General features: G+C 40.0%; 1 protein-coding gene and 1 pseudogene across 15 annotated transcripts in view, besides 1 other annotated feature; one reads left to right on the top strand and one right to left on the bottom strand.

Moving 5' to 3' along the window:
• Window positions 1-22,546, top strand: part of LRP6 (LDL receptor related protein 6) — a 151,020-nt gene that overhangs the window by 26,672 nt on the left and 101,802 nt on the right. The gene's annotated exons all lie outside the window — the stretch shown is intronic.
• Window positions 11,462-11,962: an enhancer, noted in NCBI's record as "H3K4me1 hESC enhancer chr12:12381345-12381845 (GRCh37/hg19 assembly coordinates)". NCBI's record gives its function as "activates a minimal SCP1, AML or CMV promoter by ChIP-STARR-seq in naive H9 embryonic stem cells {active_cell/tissue: H9 hESC(naive)}" and the evidence as "EXISTENCE:reporter gene assay evidence [ECO:0000049][PMID:30033119]".
• Window positions 13,596-13,699, bottom strand: RNU6-545P (RNA, U6 small nuclear 545, pseudogene; annotated as a pseudogene).

Genomic DNA, 22,546 nt, shown 5'->3' with positions numbered 1-22,546 from the left:
CTCGATCTCCTGACCTCATGATCTGCCCGCCTCGGCCTCCCAAAGTGCTGGCATTACAGGCGTGAGCCACTGTGCCCGGCCATAAAAAGATTCTTTTTGTATGGAAAGTGGAAAATGTAGCCAGTTACATTTAGGCAGATTATATAGATTCACATATGTTTGGAGATGAGGTTTTTTGAGATCATTATCTAAAAAATAAGAGTGATGTGTTAGAAGAACCACTGATCTTTTCGGGAAATCTGGATTATGGGTTTAGCTTGAATGGCATATGAATCAGGGTCTTGGAAATTAAGAAACAACAAACTCGTGGTGTGTGTCTCTTTGTGTGTGTGTGTGTACATGTGTTCTCAAATGTTAATGTAGGGTTTTTTTTTTTTTAATATCTTAACTCTCATCCAGTTTTAGTTTCTTCATATCAAGTAATATCCATCACCGTGTCTCAAATTAATAAGTTTCAATTGTATTGTCTACTTTTTTATGCTCCATATCTCCTAGCATTTATTGAAGGAATTTTGAAGGGGAGTAGTTGTAGTATAACTGAATGCCTTTACATAACACAGTATTTTAATAGCTTTGCTTTTTAATAAAAGCTTTCTTTGCTTGTAACATTGAGCTTTTCATTCATCCTTAGTAGAAGATTGAAACTTGGTGATTATAAAGAAAAGGATACCTTCCTCTGTATGGCTGGAGATGAAAAAAAAAAAAGAAAAAGAATAGGGTACCTTTATGAGTATAGGCTGCCTGCACTTGGGGATTTTGTCTACCTTCGATGTATTCCAGAGTTGATGACTCTTCAGAAATTACAATGAATCTTTAAGATTTTGGAAGGAGGGGTTTGTCAGCTAATTTGTGAACTAGGAATAAAATATGACTGTTTTTATTTTTGTAACAATTGATATTGATACTATATTTCTTTTAGAAATTTTCACTTAAGCTTATTGAGTTTTGTACTGTTTCCATTGTCCTACCACTTGGACCGTGCCTTTCCTTCCTCCATCAGCTCTTTAAAAATGGAACAGTTTAAAAGTGCATTATTTTCTTTGTTCTTTTTCTGAGATCATATCCGTTTCCAGTTGGCTTTTGCATAGAAGCAGATAGCCAATTATTTAAAATCTAAAGCTTTAGACTGGATCTTGCTTTAAAGCACTGTCCCTGTGTATGAAGGATCTTGGTGTAAACAACTTACAGTTTTGAAGGATGTTCTGTTAAATTGGGAAGGTCTGTTTTCTATCCCTTGAATCCTAGAACTGGAAGGGAATCTTAAGGATCCTCTAGCTAAATGCCTTCCTTCCCTTCTTTGGGTGAAGAAACCAAGGCCTTTGACCAAGATAAATGAGAGGGAGCTATATTCTTAGTTGAAATTTTTGAATTCCGTGTTTGGTGCTTTTTTTCTTTGTGAAAGGTATCTTACTGAAGCCATTGTTTTTTGTTTTTTGTGTTTTTTTTACGAGTTGAATTACTTTAAAAAATTGAACATGGTAGCTTTGTTTAAAGGACCTTTTAAAATAAGTTTCATGTTTTTAGGTTTACTCAGTGTAGCAATTTCTTATTTTACCATTGCTTTTTGCATCCCAGTTAATCCATTTGGATTCAGCTTCCTTTTGTTTGAAGTATGCCCTTCAGTGTTTCTTTCAATAAGCGTCTGTTAATAGTAACTCTTGGTCTTTGTCTAAAAATGTATTTATTTTGCCCTCATTCTTGAAATGATAATTAGTTGAGTATAGAATTCTACGTGATTAGTTATTTTCACTCAGACCTTTGAGGGTGTATGGCTTTAATTGTTGGTACGATTAAGTCTGTATTGCATTGTAATTTATCATTTATCTTTTTTAATATTTTTGTGGTTTTTAAAAGCTTCTCTTGATTTTTGGTATTTTGCAGCTTTGTCTACCCTGTGTCTAGATGTGGATATATTTTTATTTATCCTGGTTAGGATTCATATTTCTAGAATCTAAGCATTTTTGTCGTTTGTTAATTCTAGAGAATTCTTATCCTTTTTTTTCTTAATTTTCCTTCGTTCTCCTTAGTCTCCTTTGGAACTCTTGTTTGATATGTGTTCCTTTCTAATTCCCTGTTCCTTTCCTCTTAATTTTGCTCTTTTATCTTCTCTCTCATTATTTCTCTGAGCCACTTTCTGTTTTTTTTTTTCTTTTGTACCTGCCATCTAGATACAAAATTCTTTCTTCAGCTGTGCCTAACTTTGCAGTTTAACATGTTAATTGAGGTTTTAATATCAGTGACTATATTTTAATTTTTTTAGAAGTTCCTTGTGCCCCCTTATGAAGAAATTTCAGCTACATAAAAGTAGAGAAAACAGTATATCAGTAATTTTAGACTTGGAAAAAAAGTTGCAAAAATTGTACATAGCTCTAGTGTAACTTTCACCCAGCTTCCCTAAATATTGACATTTTGTATAACCATAGAACAGTTATCTAACCAGGAATTAATGTTGATAGAATACTGTTAACTAATCTGTAGACCATATTTGAATTTCTCCGTTTTCCCCATTAGTCCTTTCTCTGGTCCAGGATACCATTTTGCATTTAGTTATCTCCTCGGCCTTTTCTAATCTGAGATGTTTTGGTAGTCTTTCTTTGTTGTTCATAACCTGGACATTTTTGAAGATTATTGGCCAGTCATTTGTAGAACGTTCCTCAGTTTGGCTCTATTTGCTGTTTCTCATGATTTGATTAAAGTTATACATTTTTGGCAAGAATACCACAGAAGTGGTATTATGCCCTTCTCAGGGCATCCTGTCAGCAGGCACATTATGTGGATACTAGGTGATGTTACAGTTGATCACTTGGCTATGGTTTTGTCTGCTAGTTTTTTTTTCACTGTAGTTACTGTTTTTTCCCTTGCAATATATATTTGAGGCTGTGCAATTATCCTGTTTCTCATCATACTTTTATCCACAAATTTTAGCATTCCTTGATGGTTTTTGCCTGTGTTAATTATTACTGTGATGTTTGCTGTTTGCCAAATAGCGATTTTTCTAGTTCCATTATTCCTTCTGTGTGCATTATTAGCTTTCTACCTTAACGTAGAGCTGTCCTGTCTCTCTCATTTATTTATTCAGTTATTTATATTAGTGTGATATTGTGAAAATATATTTGGTCTCAGTCCCCTGGTTCTTGGCACAGAGCTTCTAAAACCCTTGTAATTTCCTGAGCAGTAGGGTTGCTAGGTGCATCTTTTGTTCTAATATTTGGTCTTTGATTCCAGTGCCTGACATGGAACTCCTAATCCCTTGGAATTTCCTGGGTGATAGGAACATCTTTTGTTCTAATGAGGCAACTCTTGATAGGCTTCTGGATGGGGGCTGGTCACCAGAAAGACCAAGCCATGATTAGAAGCTTGGAACTTTCAGCTCCACTTCACATCCTTGGGCAGGGGAGAGGGACTGGAGATAGAGCTAATAATCAGTCATACCTATATAAAAAGCCTCAAAAAAAAAATCCCTGAATTATGGGGGTTTGGAGAGCTTCTGGGTTGGTGAACACATCCATTTTCATGTTTCATTAGGATGGAATCACCTGTGCTCGTGACCCTTCTGGATCTCTCCCTATGTATCTTTTCCATGTGGTTGTTCATCTGTATCCTTTGTAATATCCTTTATAATAAACTGATAAATATAAATAAAGTGTTTCCCGGAGTTCTGTGAGCTACTTTAGCAAATGATTGAACCTGAGGAGGGGATTGTGGGAACATCCAGTTTATAGCTGGCCAGTCAGAAGCACGGGTGCCTGCAGTGTTGGAGGCAGTCTTTTAGGACCGAGCCCGTTACTGGGATCTGATGCTGTCTTCACATAGATAGTGTCAGAATTGAACTGGCTTGTAGGACACCCAGCTGGTGTTGTAGAATTGCTTGGTGTGGGGAACCCCCCCGTCACCCCGCCCAGCGATCTGGTGTCAGAAATGTTCTGTTATGTTGACCCTGTGAGAGAAGGAAATGTGTTTTTCTGATACAATTAGTATGGATTCATGGGCATTTATTTTATCCTGTAGGTTGTAATCCAAAACTGTCATGATTTTCTTGCTCAAATTGTTGCAGATTTGACCACTGGGAGCTCTTTCAAGTTGGTTCCTGAGTCATTTGTACATGCCCTCATTGTTTGTTTGTTTATTTATTTATTTATTTATTTTGAGACGGAGTTTTGCTCTGTCGCCCAGGCTGGAGTGCAGTGGCGCCATCTTGGCTCACTGCAAGCTCCGCCTCCTGGGTTCACGCCATTCTCCTGCCTCAGCCTCCCGAGTGACTGGGACTACAGGCACCCGCCACCACGCCTGGCTAATTCTTTGCATTTTTCAGTAGAGACGGGGTTTCACACCTGTTAGCCCGGATGGTCTCGATCTCCTGACCTGGTGATCCGCCCGCCTCGGCCTCCCAAAGTGCTGGGATTACAGGCGTGAGCCACCGCGTCCAGCCGCCCTCATTGTTTTTTAAGTACTTATTTACTTTCTGGCGACTCCAGGCAGTCCAGACTCATTGTGTCCTTTTTCTGTTCCACTCCTTGAATCAACTATTTCTCCAAGGAGTTCTGGCTCCTTTTATTAGAGAATGGTATTTAGAAATGAAGATGTGGAAACTAGGTATGCTCTTTGCTACTGGATTTTCTTTTTTCTTTTTCTTTTTTTTTTTGAGCCGGAGTTTTGTCCTTGTTGCCCAGGCTGGAGTGCAATGGCGCGATCTCGGCTCACTGCAACCTCCACCTCCCGGGTTCAAGTGATTCTCCTGCTTCAGCCTCCCGAGTAGCTGGGATTACAGGCATGCGCCACTATGCCTGGCTAATTTTGTTTTTTTAGTAGAGACGGGGTTTCTGCATGTTGGTCAGGCTGGTCTCGAACTCCCAACCTCAGGTGATCCGCCTGCTTTGGCCTCCCAAAGTGCGTGAGATTACAGGCGTGAGCCACTGCTCCCGGCTGTATTTTCTTTTATTGTATTTAGTTTAGTACCTCTCAGTGGACAGAGTTAGGAAATATATGATGTATGTAGACACACATACCCCTAGTTCTGTGTCTTTGCTATACGTAAAAACAAATTCATGTTATCGCCAATTCCAGTCTACTACCACAAAATTATCATTGTAGTCTTCTCCCTTTTCTTACTTGGGATATTTACTTCTATTCTGTGATAGTGAGAAACCTGGCTCTCATTATCATGATAGATTTTCTTATTTGCCCATCTTAGTGTACACATTAAGGGAGTTTTAAAATCATTAGCCTATACCACCATTGTGAGAAACGAATTTACTTTGGTGTTATGTGAAACAATTGACATGTTCCTAACAGTAAAAAATAATACAAAAATTTATACTCAGGAAAGTGTTCTTCTTCCCCATCCCTTCTATCCTAGTCCCATCTCCTACCCCCTTTTTTCCAGTCTTTCCCCACCCTTCTCTATAGGTATCTTAGTCTTAATAATTTCTGCTTTTTTCTTGTGAATTTGTTTATGTACAAATGAGTTGATACGTGTGTATATTCTTTTTTTTTCTTTTATTATATCTCCGTTCTCAGAATGTGAATGTGTATATTCTTTTTTTTTTTGAGACGTAGTCTCTCTCTGTCGCCCAGAGTGCAGTGGCACCATCTTGGCTCATTGCAACCTCTGCATCCTGGGTTCAAGCGATTCTCCTGCCTCAGCCTCCTGAGTAGCTGGATTAACAGATGTGCGCCACCACACCCGGCTAATTTTTGTATTTTTAGTAGAGGCGGGGTTTCACCATGTTGGTCAGGCTGGTCTCAAACTCCTGACCTCGTGATTCACCCACCTCAGCCTCTCAGAGTGCTGGAATTACAGGCATGAGCCACTGTGCCCAGCCGTGAATGTGTATATTCTTATAATCTTCTTTTCTTACATGAAAGAGTAACATACAGTAGATGCTCTTTTGCATGTTCTTTTTAAACTTAACTTTTTTTTTTTGAGACGGAGTCTCACTCTGTCGCCCAGGCTGGAGTGTAGTGGCACGATCTGGGCTCACTGCAACCTCCGCCTTCCGGGTCCAAGTGATTCTTTGGCCTCAGCCTCTCAAGTAGCTGGGACTACAGGCATGTGCCATCATGCCTTGCTAATTTTTTTTTTTTTGAGATGGAGTTTCGCTCTTGTTGCCCACGCTAAAGTGTAATGGTGCGATCTTGGCTCACGGCAACCTCCGCCTCCTGGGTTAAAGCAATTCTCCTTCCTCAGCCTCCCGAGTAGCTGGGACTACATGCATTCACCACCACGTCTGGCTAATTTTGTATTTTTAGTAGAGACGGAGTTTCTCCATGTTGGTCAGGCTGGTCTCAAACTCCTGACCTTGTGATCCGCCTGCCTCGGCCTCCCAAAGTGCCGGAATTACAGGCATGAGCCACCGTGCCCGGCCAAAACTTAACATTTTGAATGTCATTCCATATCATTTCATAGAGATCTTCCTCATTGTTTTTTGCCAGTGCATAGTATACCATTGTGTGAGTGTACCATAGTTTATTCAACTACTCTCTATGTGTAGGCTTTTAGGCTGGTTTTTTTTTTAATTAGCTGAGATATTTTAAAGCAGATTCACACATCGATATCTCACTTGTAAATACTTTATTTTCCATCTCTAAAAAATATTTTTTCTAGAATCATAATGCCACTGTCTTTCACACAACTTGCGATGAACAATTCTTTAATGTTATAAATTAGTCTGTTCATACTCAGATATCTGTGTCTCAGAAATGTTGCTTTATAGTTGGTTGTTTGAAATCAGAGTCCAAACATTTGGTTTACAAGTTGTATGTGGTTTTTCTAGAGCAGTTCAGTTGGTCCTCCCCCTTTCCCTTTTTATCTCTCACCTTGTTGACTTAATTGAAAAGACTGGGTCAGCTGTCCTATAGAATATCCCAGATTTTTTATTTTCATTCATTCATTCATTTATTTTTTTGAGATGGAGTCTGACTCTGTTGCCCAGGCTGGAGTGCAGTGGCATGATCTTGGCTCACTGCAACCTCCGCCTCCCGGGTTCACGCCATTCTCCTGTCTCAGCCTCTTGAGTAGCTGGGACTATAAGCACCCACCACCATGCCCGGCTAATTTTTTTGTATTTTTAGTAGAGGCGGGGTTTCAGCGCATTAGCCAGGATGGTCTCGATCTCCTGACCTTGTGATCCACCCACCTTGGCTTCCCAAAGTGCTGGGATTACAAGCATGAGCCACCGCGCCCAGACAATTTTTTTTTCTAACAAATTATTGTGGTATTTGACTTATTTTTATCCCCCTGTGTTACTTGGAAAGAAAGATTTGAAGACTTGATTAGAGACAGATTTAACATTTTGACATGAATGCCTCATAGGTAGTACTGAGTACTTTGTATTTGTCACATCAGAAGTTGTCCTATATTGTAGTGTTGCTAAGATTATTCAGTAGGTTCAGATGGTCAGATTTTCTGAGCAGTTGGGATGTTAGGTGCATCTTTTGTTATAATATTTGGTTTTTGACTCTAGTGCCTGAAAGTTACTATCTTTATTTGTAAGTTGAGCCCTTTCCTCTTGTGTCCTTAAGTTATTTGTGGGATGATCCTTTTGTATTTTGCCAAATACCTAGTTCCTTATTAACCACTCATCTATTGATTATTTTAGCATGCACTGAGGATTGCTTCTTGTATTTTCTTATTAGAGATATGTTATTGTTTGATGATGTCTTTTCTTGTGTCATATATTTTATTCCATCTTTTATGTGTTTTCATCATTTAAATATTTATAATCTCTATCAAGTTGTTCAGTTTTCTGAAGTTCTTAAAAATCTACTTCTGTTTTTTTTTTTTTTTGCACCTGCTGGATTCTTGCTTAAGGTTAAATGTTTCCTCGAGTGTTTTATATAGTTTTGGACTGTGAACAGATCTTCAGAGAGGCTGTCCTTGAGAATTCTGAATGACTTGGGGGCATATTCCTCCAGAGAGATTTTGGGTTGCTTTTGCCAAGTTCACTGGAAGTGTTTCCAGTGACCACTTAAATTTTTTTTTTTTTTTTTGAGACAGCGTCTCACTCTGTCGCCCAGGCTGGAGTGCAGTGGTACGATCTCGGCTCACTGCAGGCTCTGCCTCCTGGGTTCTCGACACTCTTCTGCCTCAGCCTCCCAATAACCTGGGACTACAGGCACCCGCCACCATGCCCGGCTAATTTTTTGTATTTTTTAGTAGAGACAGGGTTTCACCATGTTAGCCAGGATGGTCTTGATCTCCTGACCTCGTGATCTGCCCACCTTGGTCTCCTAAAGTGCTGGGATTACAGTCGTGAGCCACCGTGCCCAGCCGACCACTTAACTATTTAAAGTATAATTTATATACAGTAAATTGCACAGATCTCAAGTGTGAAGTTTGAGTTTTGTTTTTGTTTTTGTTTTTGTTTTTTTTTTTGAGGCAGGGTCTCGCTTCGTCAGTGGCGCAGTCTCAGCTCACTGCAACCTTTGCCTCCCAAGCTCAAGCAATCCTCCCATCTTAGCCTCCTAAGTAGCTAGGACTGTAGGTGTGTGCCACCACATCCGGCTAATTTTCATATCTTTTGTAGAGATGGGGTTTCACCATGTTGCTCAGGATGGACTTGAATTCCTGGGCTCAAGTGATCTGCCCATCTCAGCCTCCCAAAGTGTTGGGCTTACAGGCATGAGCCACTGCGCTGCTCAGCATGAGTTTTTTTTGTTGTTGTTTAAACAAAAACAAAACAAAAAAAAAACCGTTTCCTGGGCTGATCTAAAAACTTCTGGGACTACAGGCATGAGCCACTGTGCCCGGCTTAGTTTGAGTTTTGGTAAATGAGTTATCAAATGTTATCATTGCCTTATTCAAGCAGAAGTCATTTTTTATATTTAATTTTTGAAGTTGGGAGTTTCTGTACTATGTGGATAGAATAAATCAAACTCTAAACCTATGTAGGGGCAGTCTTATGATTATGAAATCTTTGGTGATCTTTCCTACCTTTTCAGAGCCTAGGGCAAGACAAAAAAGGCTTCCTGTGTCCCTCTGCCAGTGGGCAGATCTTTCTACTTCATTGTTCTTTGAGAGTCCATGCTTTGTGCAGGAATCTTACTTCTAACACTGTGTCTTGTGTGCCAAGATCTTCTCTGGCTTGTCATTGGAACAGAAGTTTCTCAGTTTCTGAAATCAGAAAATCCAGGGTCGTCATAGCATCAGGTCAAACATGTACTGCTTTTTTTTTTTTTTTTTTTTTTTTTTTTGAGATGGAGTCTTGCTCTGTCATCCAGGCTAGAGTGTAGTGTCACGATCTCGGCTTGCTGCAACCTCCGCCACCCAGGTTCAAGCCATTCTCCTGCCTCAGCCTCCCAAGTAGCTGGGATTACAGGCGCCTGCCATCACACCCGGCTAATTTTTGTATTTTTAGTAGAGACGGGGTTTTACCATATTGGCCAGGCTGGTCGCGAACTCCTGACCTTGTGATCTGCCCACCTTGGCTTCCCAAAGTGCTGGGATTACAGGCGTGAGCCACTGCGCCTGGCCATGTACTGCTTTTTACTTTCCTGTTCATTTTTGGTCTCAGGAGATTTCTCCTACTTTCTTGATAAGTTCTACATTTAAAGGGGTGTTTGTATATTTTATTTTGTGTATATGTACAAATCAAATAAAAAGATTCACCAGTAGTTCTAGATGTTTTGTAAAAGAAGTATTTTCTGGTTGTCTTTTTACCATATTACCAGAATAGAAACTCTGACTTACATGTTTTAAAATATTGTCTATTCTTTCATGTACCATGTGCATGATAGTTGAGGATTATTCATACTTGCTAATATGTATATTAATGACTTATTTTAATTATGGATAGGATTATATAAGTAACTTCAAGGATCATGACATGATTTATGATCTAGTATAGATCTGGGTCACTTAGTTTTTATAGCTCAAGTCTCAATGTCTTAATTAGTCACCTGTGTATGTAATTACATCTTGTAAAGGGTGAAATTTCATCCCTTTAGTCTAGATTTATTGAAACTGAACATTTTCATTATGGGAAGCCGAATTCAGATTGAGTATACTTACCAAATTAGGGCTTGTGAATATTTTGGAAGATTTGTTGTTTTATCCTTACCTAATCAAATAAATTAAATGCTTTGGATTGTAATAAAAATGTATAAAGTAAATTTGTATAAAATGGCTTGTGTGTCTAGTCTTATTATCAGTTTGAGATATTTTTATTTTCCTGGCATAAGAAATTGTGACATCTTGAAAACTTAATATATGTTTACTTGCTTTACTTCCCTCCCAGTTAAAATGAAGCTCATCTTCTACCTTTCACTCCATTTAAAAATTATTTTCCAGAAAGCATTACAAATGAATATGAGACCAGACACAGCAATAAAATTACATTTGTGTGGACGCTAATGAACAGCATATAACAGCCTGGTCCTGGTTTTCATGATTTTTGGATGAATAGCAGATGTGTATACTATTGCAAAGTGGAGCTGTGACCACATATATTTATTTAATCATTATCAAGTACATATGTTCATTCTCTCTTAATTCAAAGCCAAAATAAAGCTAATTGAGGCCAAAATAAATTAGAGGCCAAATAGATTACATAACCAGAGTTAGTAAAGATTACTGCTGAAGTGAGATTTCTTCTATATAAGCCTGTAGCCTAGCTTTTGAGAAGCCAAGGGAGATATTTATCACACACTTTCTGTTTCCCAAAGCATACTAAAATTGGCTTTAAAATATGTTGCTGATAAAAGCCCTTGCAGAATATATTACACAACTAGTTGAATTAAGCAACTTCATTGTTAAGTGCTTTTATGTGTCTACAGGTTTCTAAGGTAGATTCTAAGGTAGATTAAATACAAAAACAAAACAACCAAACCTGCTCCTTAATATTTGCACACCAATTATTATTTATTTTTTGAAAGAGTCTAAAATAAAATGAAGTAGTCAAGGAGTTTATGTCACAGTTTAATTTTTAAATGGCTGAGTTAAGGGAGAGATTTTCAAGTCTCAGTGTGAGATATTCTTCTTCTTCTTCTTTTTTTTTTTTTTTTTGAAATGGAGTTTCACTTCTTTTGCCCAGGCTGGAGTGCAATGGCATGATCTCGGCTCACAGCAACCTCCGCCTTGCGGGTTCAAGCGATTCTCCTGCCTCAGCCTCCCAAGTAGCTGGGATTACAGGCATGTGCCACCATGCCAGGCTAATTTTGTGTTTTTAGTAGAGATGGGGATTCTCCATGTTGGTCAGGCTGGTCTCGAACTCCCAACCTCAGGTGATCCACCTGCCTTGGCCTCCCAAAGTGCTGGGATTACAGGTGTGAACCGTTGTGCCGGGCCGATATTCTTCATTTTCCTCATAATAGAAAATGTTTGTGTCATATCCTAGCAGATCTTGAGAATGTTTTTTTCCCTCAGGACTTTTCCTGCATCACATCCCTGTACCATGTCCTCTGAGCAGGCCTCAGTAGCTACCACTCCTCTTGGGTTAGCTTCAGTGCTGCATCCTTGAATGCAATGAATGCCTCTTTCCTAGCTCGCTGGGGCCTATTGCCATTTTCTGCTTTCCCTAGAGCAGTGGTCCCTAAACTTTTTGGCACCAGGGACTGGTTCTGTGGAAGACAGTTTTTCCACAGGCACTGGGCAGTAGCGGGGTGGGTGGGATGGTTTCTGGATGAAACTGTGCCACCTCAGATCAGGCATTAGATGCACAAATGGAGGTGTGCAACCTAGATCTGTTGCATGCGCTGTTCACAATAAGGTTCGCACTCCTGAGACTAATGCTGCCACTGATGTGACAGGAGGCAGAGCTCAGGCAGTAATGCTCGCTTGCCTGCTGCTCACCTGCTGTGCGGCCAGTTCCTAGCAGGCCACTGACTGCTACTGGTCCACAGCCTGGGGCTTGAGGACCCCTGCACTAGAGAAGGGCACAGTCTCATAAAGCAGATCCTGAGACTAAAGACTCATTCTGCTGCTGGGTCACTGCATAAACTGAAGACATCTACTTGTTACCTTTTAGGCATAGCATTTATCTCTTCCTGTTAGGTTCTCTTTCTTTTTTTTTTGAGATGGAGCCTCGCTGTGTCACCTAGGCTGTTGTGCAGTGGTGTGATCTGGGCTCACCGCAACCTCCGCCTCCCGGGTTCAAGCGATTATCATGCCTCCAGCCTCCCCAGTAGCTGGGACTACAGGCGTGCATCAGCTAATTTTTGTATTTTTAGTAGAAACGGGGGTTTCACCATGTTGGCCAGGCTGGTCCTGAGCTCCCGACCTCAGGTGATCCCCCTGCCTTGGCCTCCCAAATGGCTGGGATTACAGGTGTGAGCCACTGCACCTGGCCAGGCTCTCTTTCTTAATCCTTACCTTGGATACATAATTTAGCTACTCTCGGGGAAATGTGCCAAATGAGGATTTGGTACCAGTCTTATTGACCACTGACCACTAAAAATGAGTGCCAAGCTTTACAGAACAGCAAACTGAAGCAGAAAGGGCTCCCCTCTTGCCTTTTGTTTGTTTTTTAAATAAAAGACCATTTTTTAGAACAGTTTTGGACTTACAACAGAATTGGCTGAAACAAAATACTCCTAATTTCTCCCTTCCATCCCCTGTATTGTTGCCATCATTCATTTCACTTATATATAAGCTAAAATCATTGACTACACTGTGCTGTTACTATTTTGAACAAACTGTTACCTGTTAGCTCAATTAAGAATAAGAAAAGGCCAGGTGTGGTGACTTAAGTCTGTAATCTCAGCACTTTGGGAGGCCAAGGCGGGTGGCTCACCTGAGGTCAGGAGTTCGAGACCAGCCTGGCCAACATGGTGAAACCCCGTCTCTACCAAAAATACAAAAAATTAGCCTGGCATGGTGGTGCGTGCCTGTAATCCCAGCTACTCGGGAGACTGAGGCAGGAAAATCGCTTGAACCTGGGAGGTGGAGGTTGCAGTGAGGCGAGATTGCGCTGTTGCACCCCAGCCTGGGCAACAAGAGTAAAACTCTGTGTCAAAAAAAAAAAAAAAGGAAAAGAAAGTTTTTATTTTACCTTCACTTATTCCTTCTCTAATGCCGTTACTTTCTTTTTGTAGATCTATTTTTGACCTATATTATTTTTCTTCCTTCTGAAGAACTACTTTTAACATTTCTTAAAACGCAGGTCTACTGGTAACAAATCCCTCAATTTTTGTTGGTCTTGAGAAAGTCTTTAGTTCTCCTTCACTTTTTAAGGATAATTTTGCAGGGTAGAGAATTCCAGGCTAGCAGTTTTTTCTTTGTTTTTCCTTTCTCTTGAATTTTAAAATATTTCGCTCTATTCTCTATTTGCTTGTATGGTTTATGAGGATAAGTTGGATGTAATCCTGCTCTTCTACAAGTAAGGTGTTTTTTCTTGCTTAAGATTTATTTATTTTTTTCATTTTCTGCAGTTTGAATATGATATGCCAAGGTGTTAGGTGGTGGTTGGTTTTGTTTTGCCTTTTCCCGCTTGTTCTCTGAGCTGACTGGATCTGTGGTTTGCTGTCTGACATTAGTTTGTGTGGAATTCTGTCATTACGGCTTCAAATATTTTCTCTTTCTGTATTCTCATTATGTGTATGTTGTACCTTTTGTATAATAATTGTCCCACAGTTCTTATTGTTTTTAAAAATATATATTATAAAAATACTAACGCTTCACGAATTTGCATGTCATCCTTGTGCAGGGGCCATGCTGATCTGTGAATTGTTCCAGTGTTAGTATATGTGCTGCTGAACTGAACGCAGTTCTTAGATATTCTGTTCCCTTTTTTTCAGTCTTTTTAAAAAATCTGCTTTTCAGCTTTGGAAGTTTCTATTGACATATTCCCAAGCTCAGATTCCTCAACCATGAACAGTATACTAATAAACCCATCAAAGGCATTCTTCATTTATGTTATAGTGTTTTTGGTCTCCAGCATTTCTCTTTGATTTTTCCCCTTGCTTACATTATCAGTCTATTCTTCCATGTTGTCTGTTTTTTCCCGTTAGCATCCTTAGCATATGAATCATAGTTGCTTTAAATTCTTGTCTGTTTATTGCAATATTCTTGCCATATTTCAATCTGGTTATGGTACTTGCTCTGTCTCTTCAAACTGCTTTTTTGTCTTTTAGTATGCCTTGTAATTTTTTGTTGAAAGCTGGATATGATATATCAGATAAAAGGAATTGTGATATATAGGCCTTTTGTAATGTGATGGTAAGCTGTGGGGAGAGAAAAAATAGTCTATAGTTCAATGACTATATTTCAGTTGTTTAGTCAGCCATTGCCCTGGGCTGTGAGCTTCACAAGTGCTTCTCAGTTCTTTTCATCCCCTTAGGTGGGACAGAATGGTTAGAGGAGGCTGGAGTTAAGTATTTCTCTTCTTCTGTGTAGACGGGGAGAGGGAGGTGGAGCTGGATATTTTCCTTCCCCCAGGTTGGTTAGGCTGTAGTAAGATGGATTTTCTTGAGGGCAGACCTTACCAGTACTATAGCTTTACAAGAACTCTCCTTGCACAGGCAGCAGTGGGTATTTTTCTCAGGTCTCTCTCTTTTTTTTTTTTTTTGAGACACAGTCTTTCTCTGTCGCCTAGGTTAGAGTGCAATGGTGTGATCTCGGCTCAGTGCAACCTCTGCCTCCCGGGTTCAAGCGATTCTCCTGCTTCTGCCTCCTGAGTAGCTGGGATTACAGGTGTCCTCCACCATGCCCAGCTAATTTTTGTATTTTTAGTAGCGATGGGGTTTTACTATGTTGGTCCAGCTGGTCTCAAACTCCTGACCTCAAGTGATCCACCTGCCTCGGCCTCTCAAAGTGCTGGGATTACAGGAGTGAGCCACCACACTGGCTTGGATCTTTACTGTGAGAACCTGGTAGAGCTCCTGGAGGTAAAACCAAAAAAAGTGTCCCTAGAGTTTTTAACTTTCAGATTTGTCTATACTAAGCCTCCAGCAAGTCATCAATCGCAATTTAGGTTTTCCTACTCGGGTGCTGGCTCCTGTAGAGAGGTTTTTGTCTGTGGATTTCTGCTTTGATAAATTATGATCCTTTGTTATCACCTTGTCTGTCTATCCAATTGTGGGGGCAGTGGTTTGCCCTGTGACCTTACTTCTCTGGTGGATCTAAGAAGAGTTGTTGATCTTTGTTGTTGTTGTTGTTTAGCTTTTTACTCACTATTAGGATAGAGTAACGATTTCCAAGCTTCTTCCCCACTGCGTCCACCCCGGCCAGGTGGAGTCTCGCTTTGTCGCCCAGGCTGGAGTGCAGTGGCGTGATTTTGGCTCACTGCATCCTCCCATCCTCCACCCACTGGGTTCAAGCGATTCGCCTGCCTCAGCCTCCCAAGTAGCTGGGATTACAGGTGCCTGCCACCACAACCGGCTAATTTTTGTATTTTTAGTAGAGATGGGGTTTAACCATGTTGGTCAGGCTGGTCTAGAACTCCCGACCTCAGGTGATCCGCCTGCCTGGGCCTCCTAAAGTGCTGGGATTACAGGTGTGAGCCACCGCCCCTGGCCATTCAGAAGGTTTTAATTTGGATTCAGGCAGGCATCCAGGGAATAGGTATGTTCTTACCTTATTTATATCCTTGGTCTTAGTCTAGTTCCCTGTGTGTTGGTATTGCATTACTGATACTGTTATTTATTATGAAAGACAATGTACCTGCAGTAAGCTGATACTGTTCAGTGGACTGGACTGATTTTGTTTAAAAATCCTTATAGTGAGACTGAGCTGGGTAAGTGAACCCATGTTATATCAGTTTATATATAGGAAGTTTGAAGTGGATGTGAAAGCAGTATAATGAATTCATAACTGTTTTCAAGCTTTCATTAATTTATTTTTGATAGACACATAAGTGTTAGAGAACTCGGTTGTAAAATAAGGATATGAAATCTGTTTTCTATATAAATAAATTTAACATTTTTCTTTTGAAGCCTAATCATGAGCAGACAACTGTTAGTAATCTTGAAAGTGAAGTTTTCTGAAATGAGTCTCCTAGAGATTGTGGGAAAAAAAAAAAGGTGGTATGTGCATGGAGATAAGCCTGCAAGCATGTAGACTGTACTGTTTAGTAGAATTGAAGATGACTGTGGAAGTATGTATGTTTGTTTGAAGAATGGTGGTAAAATTGTTTGTAAGATGTTATATATGTAGAAGATGAGAAACAGGAAAAAAGCATACTACACAGATGTCAAAACCCATAGCACTTTATAGCAGAAAGCGTGGACCTTAATGAATACGAATTTTAAAAGACCATCTTTTAGGAGGCTGGGGGATTCCAGGATGGAATGCAGATTGAGACAGAAGAATCTAATTGTATTAGAGATGTATAAAACAACCTCATTGAAGTGGGTGATGGGGGAAAACTGTTGATCTAATTAATTTTGGAGATGCATAGTGCCTGTAATACTAAAGGCAAAAGGCACTGCACATATTCTTTACTTGTAGTGTACATTGGTTGATAATATTGCTTCATATAAAGGTATAGTTAACAATTCTGATACTGCAATTCTGATACCTCTAGTAATGTATACTAAACAGTTAAGTATAAGTGGATGGTGGATTGTGGTAGCCAGATTTCTCACTGTTGGAATGGAAAGTTACAAGCAAGGAGAAGGAGGCTAGAGTGATCCATGTGGTAAAGGATTAGAATTGGAGACATCAGCGTTTAGTCCATGTTTAGCTTACTATATACAGTGTACACTTTAAATAAGGTTAGTTGATTAACCTTAAAACAATGAAAAATAATCTCAGCCTTGGAATTTATACCCATTAAAAATTAAGATAGGAGTAGTAGAAAAGTATAATTAATATTTTTAGCATTTGATTTAAAAAATACTGTAGGATTTGTCAGATCTCACAGACTGGGGGAGGGTGTTAGGCCCATACCTATGTATTACCAGTCATATTGTTGAATGACCCTCAAGATGAAAGATTGTATTGATATAAACAAGTGCAGATTCCTTCATCATAAGAGTAGTGGTTGTATTTTACAGTATTTGTAATTTTATGTAAATTATTGTTTAAATATGTGCGGTATGGTTCTACCTTAGCCATCATTCCCAAGGGGAAACACAGCAACAAGGTTTCAGTGTAGCTAATACTTGTGCCTAATTTTCTGTTAAACACTTGGTTTGTGGCAAGACTTGTAGGATGTTCATTTCCCAGTCATTCTGGGAGGCTCAGATAAATGACCATCACATGCATCTAAAAGGTTTGGGAAAATTCAGGTCTTAGGTCCTGGTTTTTTTTTTTTTTTTTTTCTGATGAAATGAAGAACTTGAGTGAAATAATTAGGGAGGTATTTCTTAAAATCCTTGGAACATCTTTATAATTGTTACTATTCTTAACTAATGGCCTGTGTGGAGGTTACCACATAGTCTGGGAGGATGATTTAAAATATTTTATTTTGGTGTTGGACTGTGTCATCTATAATTTTGGCTTCAGAGAATAGAGTAAAATATAATTGAGATTTAATTGGTGGTTTTTCTGAATTGGTCTAGGAGTGATTTGCTAAATGCTTTATATACTTATCCTAGAAATATTCGTTAGTGTTATTTTTAGGATTGTATATGTAACTTTTATTACTATACATTTACTATGTATTTTCTGATGTTATAAAGACTAATGTAAGGAAAGATAGTATTTTGGTTTTATTCTCTTATTACAGTGCAGATTCTGATTCTGTAGATGTAGGATGGAGCTTGATTGGTTCATGGACCACACTTTTGTCATAAGTATGTATATATAGGAAAAAACATAGTATATATAGGGTTTGGTACTCTGCAGTTTCAGGCATCCACCGCGGGTCTTGGAATATTTCCCCCGCAAGAATGGAATCTTTCTTTCTTTCTTTCTTTCTTTTTTTTTTTTGAGACGGAGTCTTGCTTTCTCGCCCAGGCTGGAGTGCAATGGCGCGATCTTGGCTCACTGCAACCTCCGCCTCCTGGATTCAAGCGATTCTCCTGCCTCAGCCTACCGAGTAGGTGGGATTACAGGCACCACCACGACGACCGGCTAATTTTTTTGTATTTTTAGTAGAGATGAGGTTTCACCATGTTGGTCAGTCTGGTCTTGAACTCCTGACCTCAGGTGATCCGCCCGCCTCGACCTCCCAAAGTGCTGGGATTACAGGTGTGAGCCACTGCACCCGGCCGTGATCTTTCTTTATATATAGAGGATTATCGCTATAAATATATAAAATTGGGTGCCAAAAGCTTGAAAGGTTATAGTGGAAATTTGAAAATCTACTTTTATTCTCACAGATGTGTGTATTTTTACTTAGTAAAATTTACTGCTTAGTAAAATTTAAGCAGTACTTGTGAACTTTTCAAATCCCCCTTCCCAATTTGTAGAGCTTTTGAAGGAAATGTGGAAACCCATTGTGTGAGAAGGAATTTTAGTTGTTACTTTGTTCCCCTATATGGTCTTGCACAGTGGAAGGGTATAAGTACATAAAGCATTTAGCAGATCACTCCTAGATCAATTCAGAAAAACCACCAATTAAATCTCAATCATATTTTACTCTGTTCTCTGAAGCCAGAATTATAGATGACACAGTCCAACACCAAAATAAAATATTTTAAGTCATCCTCCCAGACTATGTGGTAACCTCCACACAGGCGAGTACCAACTGGGGCTTAATGATTAGCTAATATTTAGGGTCAGTGGTTAATGAGTTAAATACATTAACACCAGCTGTGCAAGAATAGAATGCTATGGATAAACAGGTGCTTGAGAACATTATGTTCCTCTTCACTGGTTCTAAGCCCTGTGTGAGTGCATTAGAATTCCTTGGGAAGCTGTTAAAAAAATATTGATTCCTGAGTTCGAGCCCAGACCAATTGAATCAGAATCTCTGATGAAAGAACCCACATAATGGATATTTTAAAATAAATTTCTTAGGTCATTCTCAAGTGCTGCCAGGGTTGAAATTTTTTGTTGTAGGTATTTCATGATGTTGCTGATGCTGTTGATGCTGTTATTTTGTGTGTGTGTGTCAGAGAGGGAAGAGGGGGGAGGTGCATAGTCTTAAACATGCTAAAGCAACAATTCTAGTTTCTTAATATTCAAGAACTGGTTATCTTGTCATCATTATGTATTGATGATTATTGGGTTTTGAAGTTATGAAGGCATGGGTGAACCAAACTGTTCAATTGGGTTTTCTCTTACACTTCATTGTTTATGGTGATATAAATACAAAAGTTTAATGTTAAGTTGGCTTTTGCATCTGTAATAAATTGTTCCTTTTATATCAGTTTGCATCAAGATGTTGTTTTAAATGTGTGTACAGAAAGAAGGGTCAGGATGTGATTTAGCTGACAGTTTTCTGCTAACCAGTCTCACGAATATTGACATTGGTTCTTAAGGAGAGAGGGGTCATAGTAGATTGTGGGAAGAACTGAGACTGCAAACATGCCACTTGTAGAAGGTAGGGAGTTGTAAGATACGAAACTTTGTCAGAGCAAGGGTTGAAGTTACTTTATCTGAACTTTAAAGTGATGCTTTGGGATGCCGTTGTGATCTAAGAATATGTGTTAGGCTGGGCGTGGTGGCTCATGCCTGTAATCCCAGCACTTTCGGAGACTGAGGTGGGCGGATCACTTTAGCTCAGGAGTTTGAGACCAGCCTGGGCAATGTGGTGAAACCCTGTGTCTCCTAAAAATAGAAAAAATTAACCGGGTGTGGTGGCGCACTCCTATGCTCCCATTTACTCAGGAGGCTGAGGTGAGAGGATCGCTTGAGCCCAGGAGGTGGAGGTTGCAGTGAGCTGAGATTGTACCACCGCATTCCAACCTGGGTGATGGAGTGAGACCCTGTCTCAAAAAAAAAAAAAAAAACTAAGAAAAATATGCGTTAGTGTTCATAGTCTTAAATAATAGAAATCCCTCTACTTTAATCATAAATGGCTTTGTGATTAAAGAGGATATTGGGCTATTCATAGAATTTCCTAAAGGGTAGAAGAACCAGTCTTGTGCAGGAACAGTGTGCTACGTACTATACTGCAGAGCTGGTCCAGTGAAAGCATCACTGTTAGGTGACATGTTCACACTATTTGTACTTTCTCTGACATAAGGTGACAGATACTCCTAAAACTGTTGTCAGTGTTCCCTTTTAAAACTGGATGAAGGAAGAATTTTTTTTTTTTTTTTGAGGCAGGTTCTCGCTCTGTTGCCCAGGCTGGAATGTAGTGGCATGATCTCAGCTCACTGCAACCTCTGCTTCCTGGGTTCAAGTGATCCTCCTGCCTCAGTCTCCCTAGTAGCTGGGACTGCAGGCGTGTGCCACCACACCTGGTTAATTTTTGCATTTTTAGTAGAGACAGGGTTTTACCATGTTGGCCTGTCTGGTCTCTTAATTCCTGACCTCAGGTGATCCGCCCGCCTCAGCCTCCTAAAGTGGTGGGATTACAGGCGTGAACCACCGTGCCCAGCTGGAAGGATTAATTAATTCAAACTGGAGTAAATTAGCTGTTGCTGTTGCCTTCAACCTCACCAGAATGGATTGCTTATGGGGCTTGCTTCTGTCGCTGCTTCCTCTTTGACCTCTACGTCCTCCTCCTTTTGTTGATTCAGTTTTTCAAAGTCGGGGTTGGTTTGTCTGACTGGAAAAGCTCAGGACTTACACGTAACCCTGTCCCAGTTAGGAGAGAGATGTGGAAAGCAAATACCTGGTTTTCAGTTTCTTTAGTTTTAGGGCAAGGTTCTGCCTTATAAAGTGAAGAATTCTCCAAACATAGGAAAGTGGATTCGATAAAGCTGGGTAGCCCCCTCCAGTGCCATATATCCATGAAAGAACATTTTGTGAATGAAAGGGAATGGTTACAGGATTTGTGGATATCTTTGCTGTGATTTGAGTCTTGTTTGTATTTTTTCCCCCTTTCTAATGTTGAAAAATGAATGAGGTGCAATGGTAGATACAAAAGCGGAGGACAGTTGGCCTGTTGGGGTGGCTCACGCCTGTAATCCCAGCACTTTGGGAGGCTGAGGTGGGCGGATCACAAGGTCAAGAGACCGATACCATCCTGGCCAACATGGGAAACCTCATCTCTACTAAAAATACAAAAATTAGCCAGGCGTGGTGGCGGGCACCTATAGTCCCAGCTACTTGGGAGGCTGAGGCAGGAGAATCGTTTGAACCCCGGGTGGTGGAGGTTGCAGTGAGCCGAGACGGTGCCACTGCACTCCAGCCTGGGCGACAGAGTGAGACTGTCTCAAAAAACAAACAAACAAAAACCAAAAAGGGGTAGACAGTTAAGAGTATAAAATTTGTAACTAAAGTGGGCCCTACAAGTAATCTGTTGTTATTTTATTGTATTTGAGATGGAGCCTTGCTGTGTTGCTCAGACTGGAGTGCAGTGGTGAGATCTCGGTGCGATTTCACCATGTCGGCCAGGCTGGTCTCAAACTCCTGACCTCAGGTGATCACCCGCCTCGGCCTCCCAAAGTGCTGGGATTACAGGCGTGAGCAACCACACCCAGCCCCACATTGTTTTTTAAACTTGCTCTACCATTTTTATATTTCCACTAGCAGTGTATGAGGGTTTCAGTTTCTCTCTTTCCTGCAATATTTGCTATTCTTTGTCTCTTCCTGGTTTTTTGTTTTTTAAAGAGATGGGGGTATTGCTCTGTCACTTGGGTTGGAGTACAGTGGCATGGTCATAGCTTACTGCAGCCTCAAACACCTGGGCTGAAGTGATCCTCCCTTCTCAGCCTTCTTTGTAGCTGGGATTACAGGTGTGAGCCTCTGTGCCTGGCCCTCTCTCCTTTTTTAAAAAGTTATAACCATCCTAGTGGGTGTATAGGCATGTCTTATTGAGGTTTTGATTTACATTTCCTTACTGACTGATGTTGAACATGTTCTGTGCTTTGACCACTTGTAAATCTTGATTTGTGAAATACCTATTTTAAAATTGTATAGTATTATTATTATTATTATTATTATTATTATTATTATTATTATTGAGAGAGGGTCTTGGTCTGTTCCCCAGCCTGGAATGTAGTGGCATGATCATGGCTCATTGCAGCCTCAACTCCCTGGGCTCAAGCGATTCTCCCATTTTAGCCTCCTGAGTAGCTGGGACCATAGGTGGGTGACACCACACCAGGCAAATTTTTAAATTTTTTTGGTAAAGATGGGGGTTCTCGTTATGTTGCCCAGGCTGGTCTTGAACTCCTGGACTCAAGTGGTCCTCCCACTTTGGCCTCCCCAGTCGCTGGGACTATAGGTATGAACCACTATGCCTGGTAAGTCCTTTTATTATTGAGTTCTAAGAGCTCTTTATATATTCTGGAAACCAGACCTTTGTCGGACATACGATTTGCAAATACTGATTTCCTGTTCTGTGGGTTGCCTTTTCACTTTCTTTGTGGTATCTTTTGAAACACACATATAATGGAGTTTTGGGATGAAGTCTGATCTGTTTTTTTCTTTTGTTGCTTGTGGTTTTAGTGTTATATCTGTGAAACCATTCTTTTAATTCTGGATCATGAATATTTACTCATTGTCTTCTAAGAGTTTTATGGTCTTAGCTTTTACAATCAGGTCTTTATCGTTTTTGAATTAATTTCTGTATGTCCTTTAGAGGTCCAGCTTCATTGTTTTGCATGTGGA

The sequence above is a fragment of the Homo sapiens genome, chromosome 12 (genome assembly GCF_000001405.40).
Source record: "Homo sapiens chromosome 12, GRCh38.p14 Primary Assembly".
Classification (NCBI taxonomy): Eukaryota; Metazoa; Chordata; class Mammalia; order Primates; family Hominidae; genus Homo; species Homo sapiens.
The sequence above is the reverse complement of the archived record's forward strand: the minus strand, read 5'-3'. Positions and strand labels throughout refer to the sequence as shown.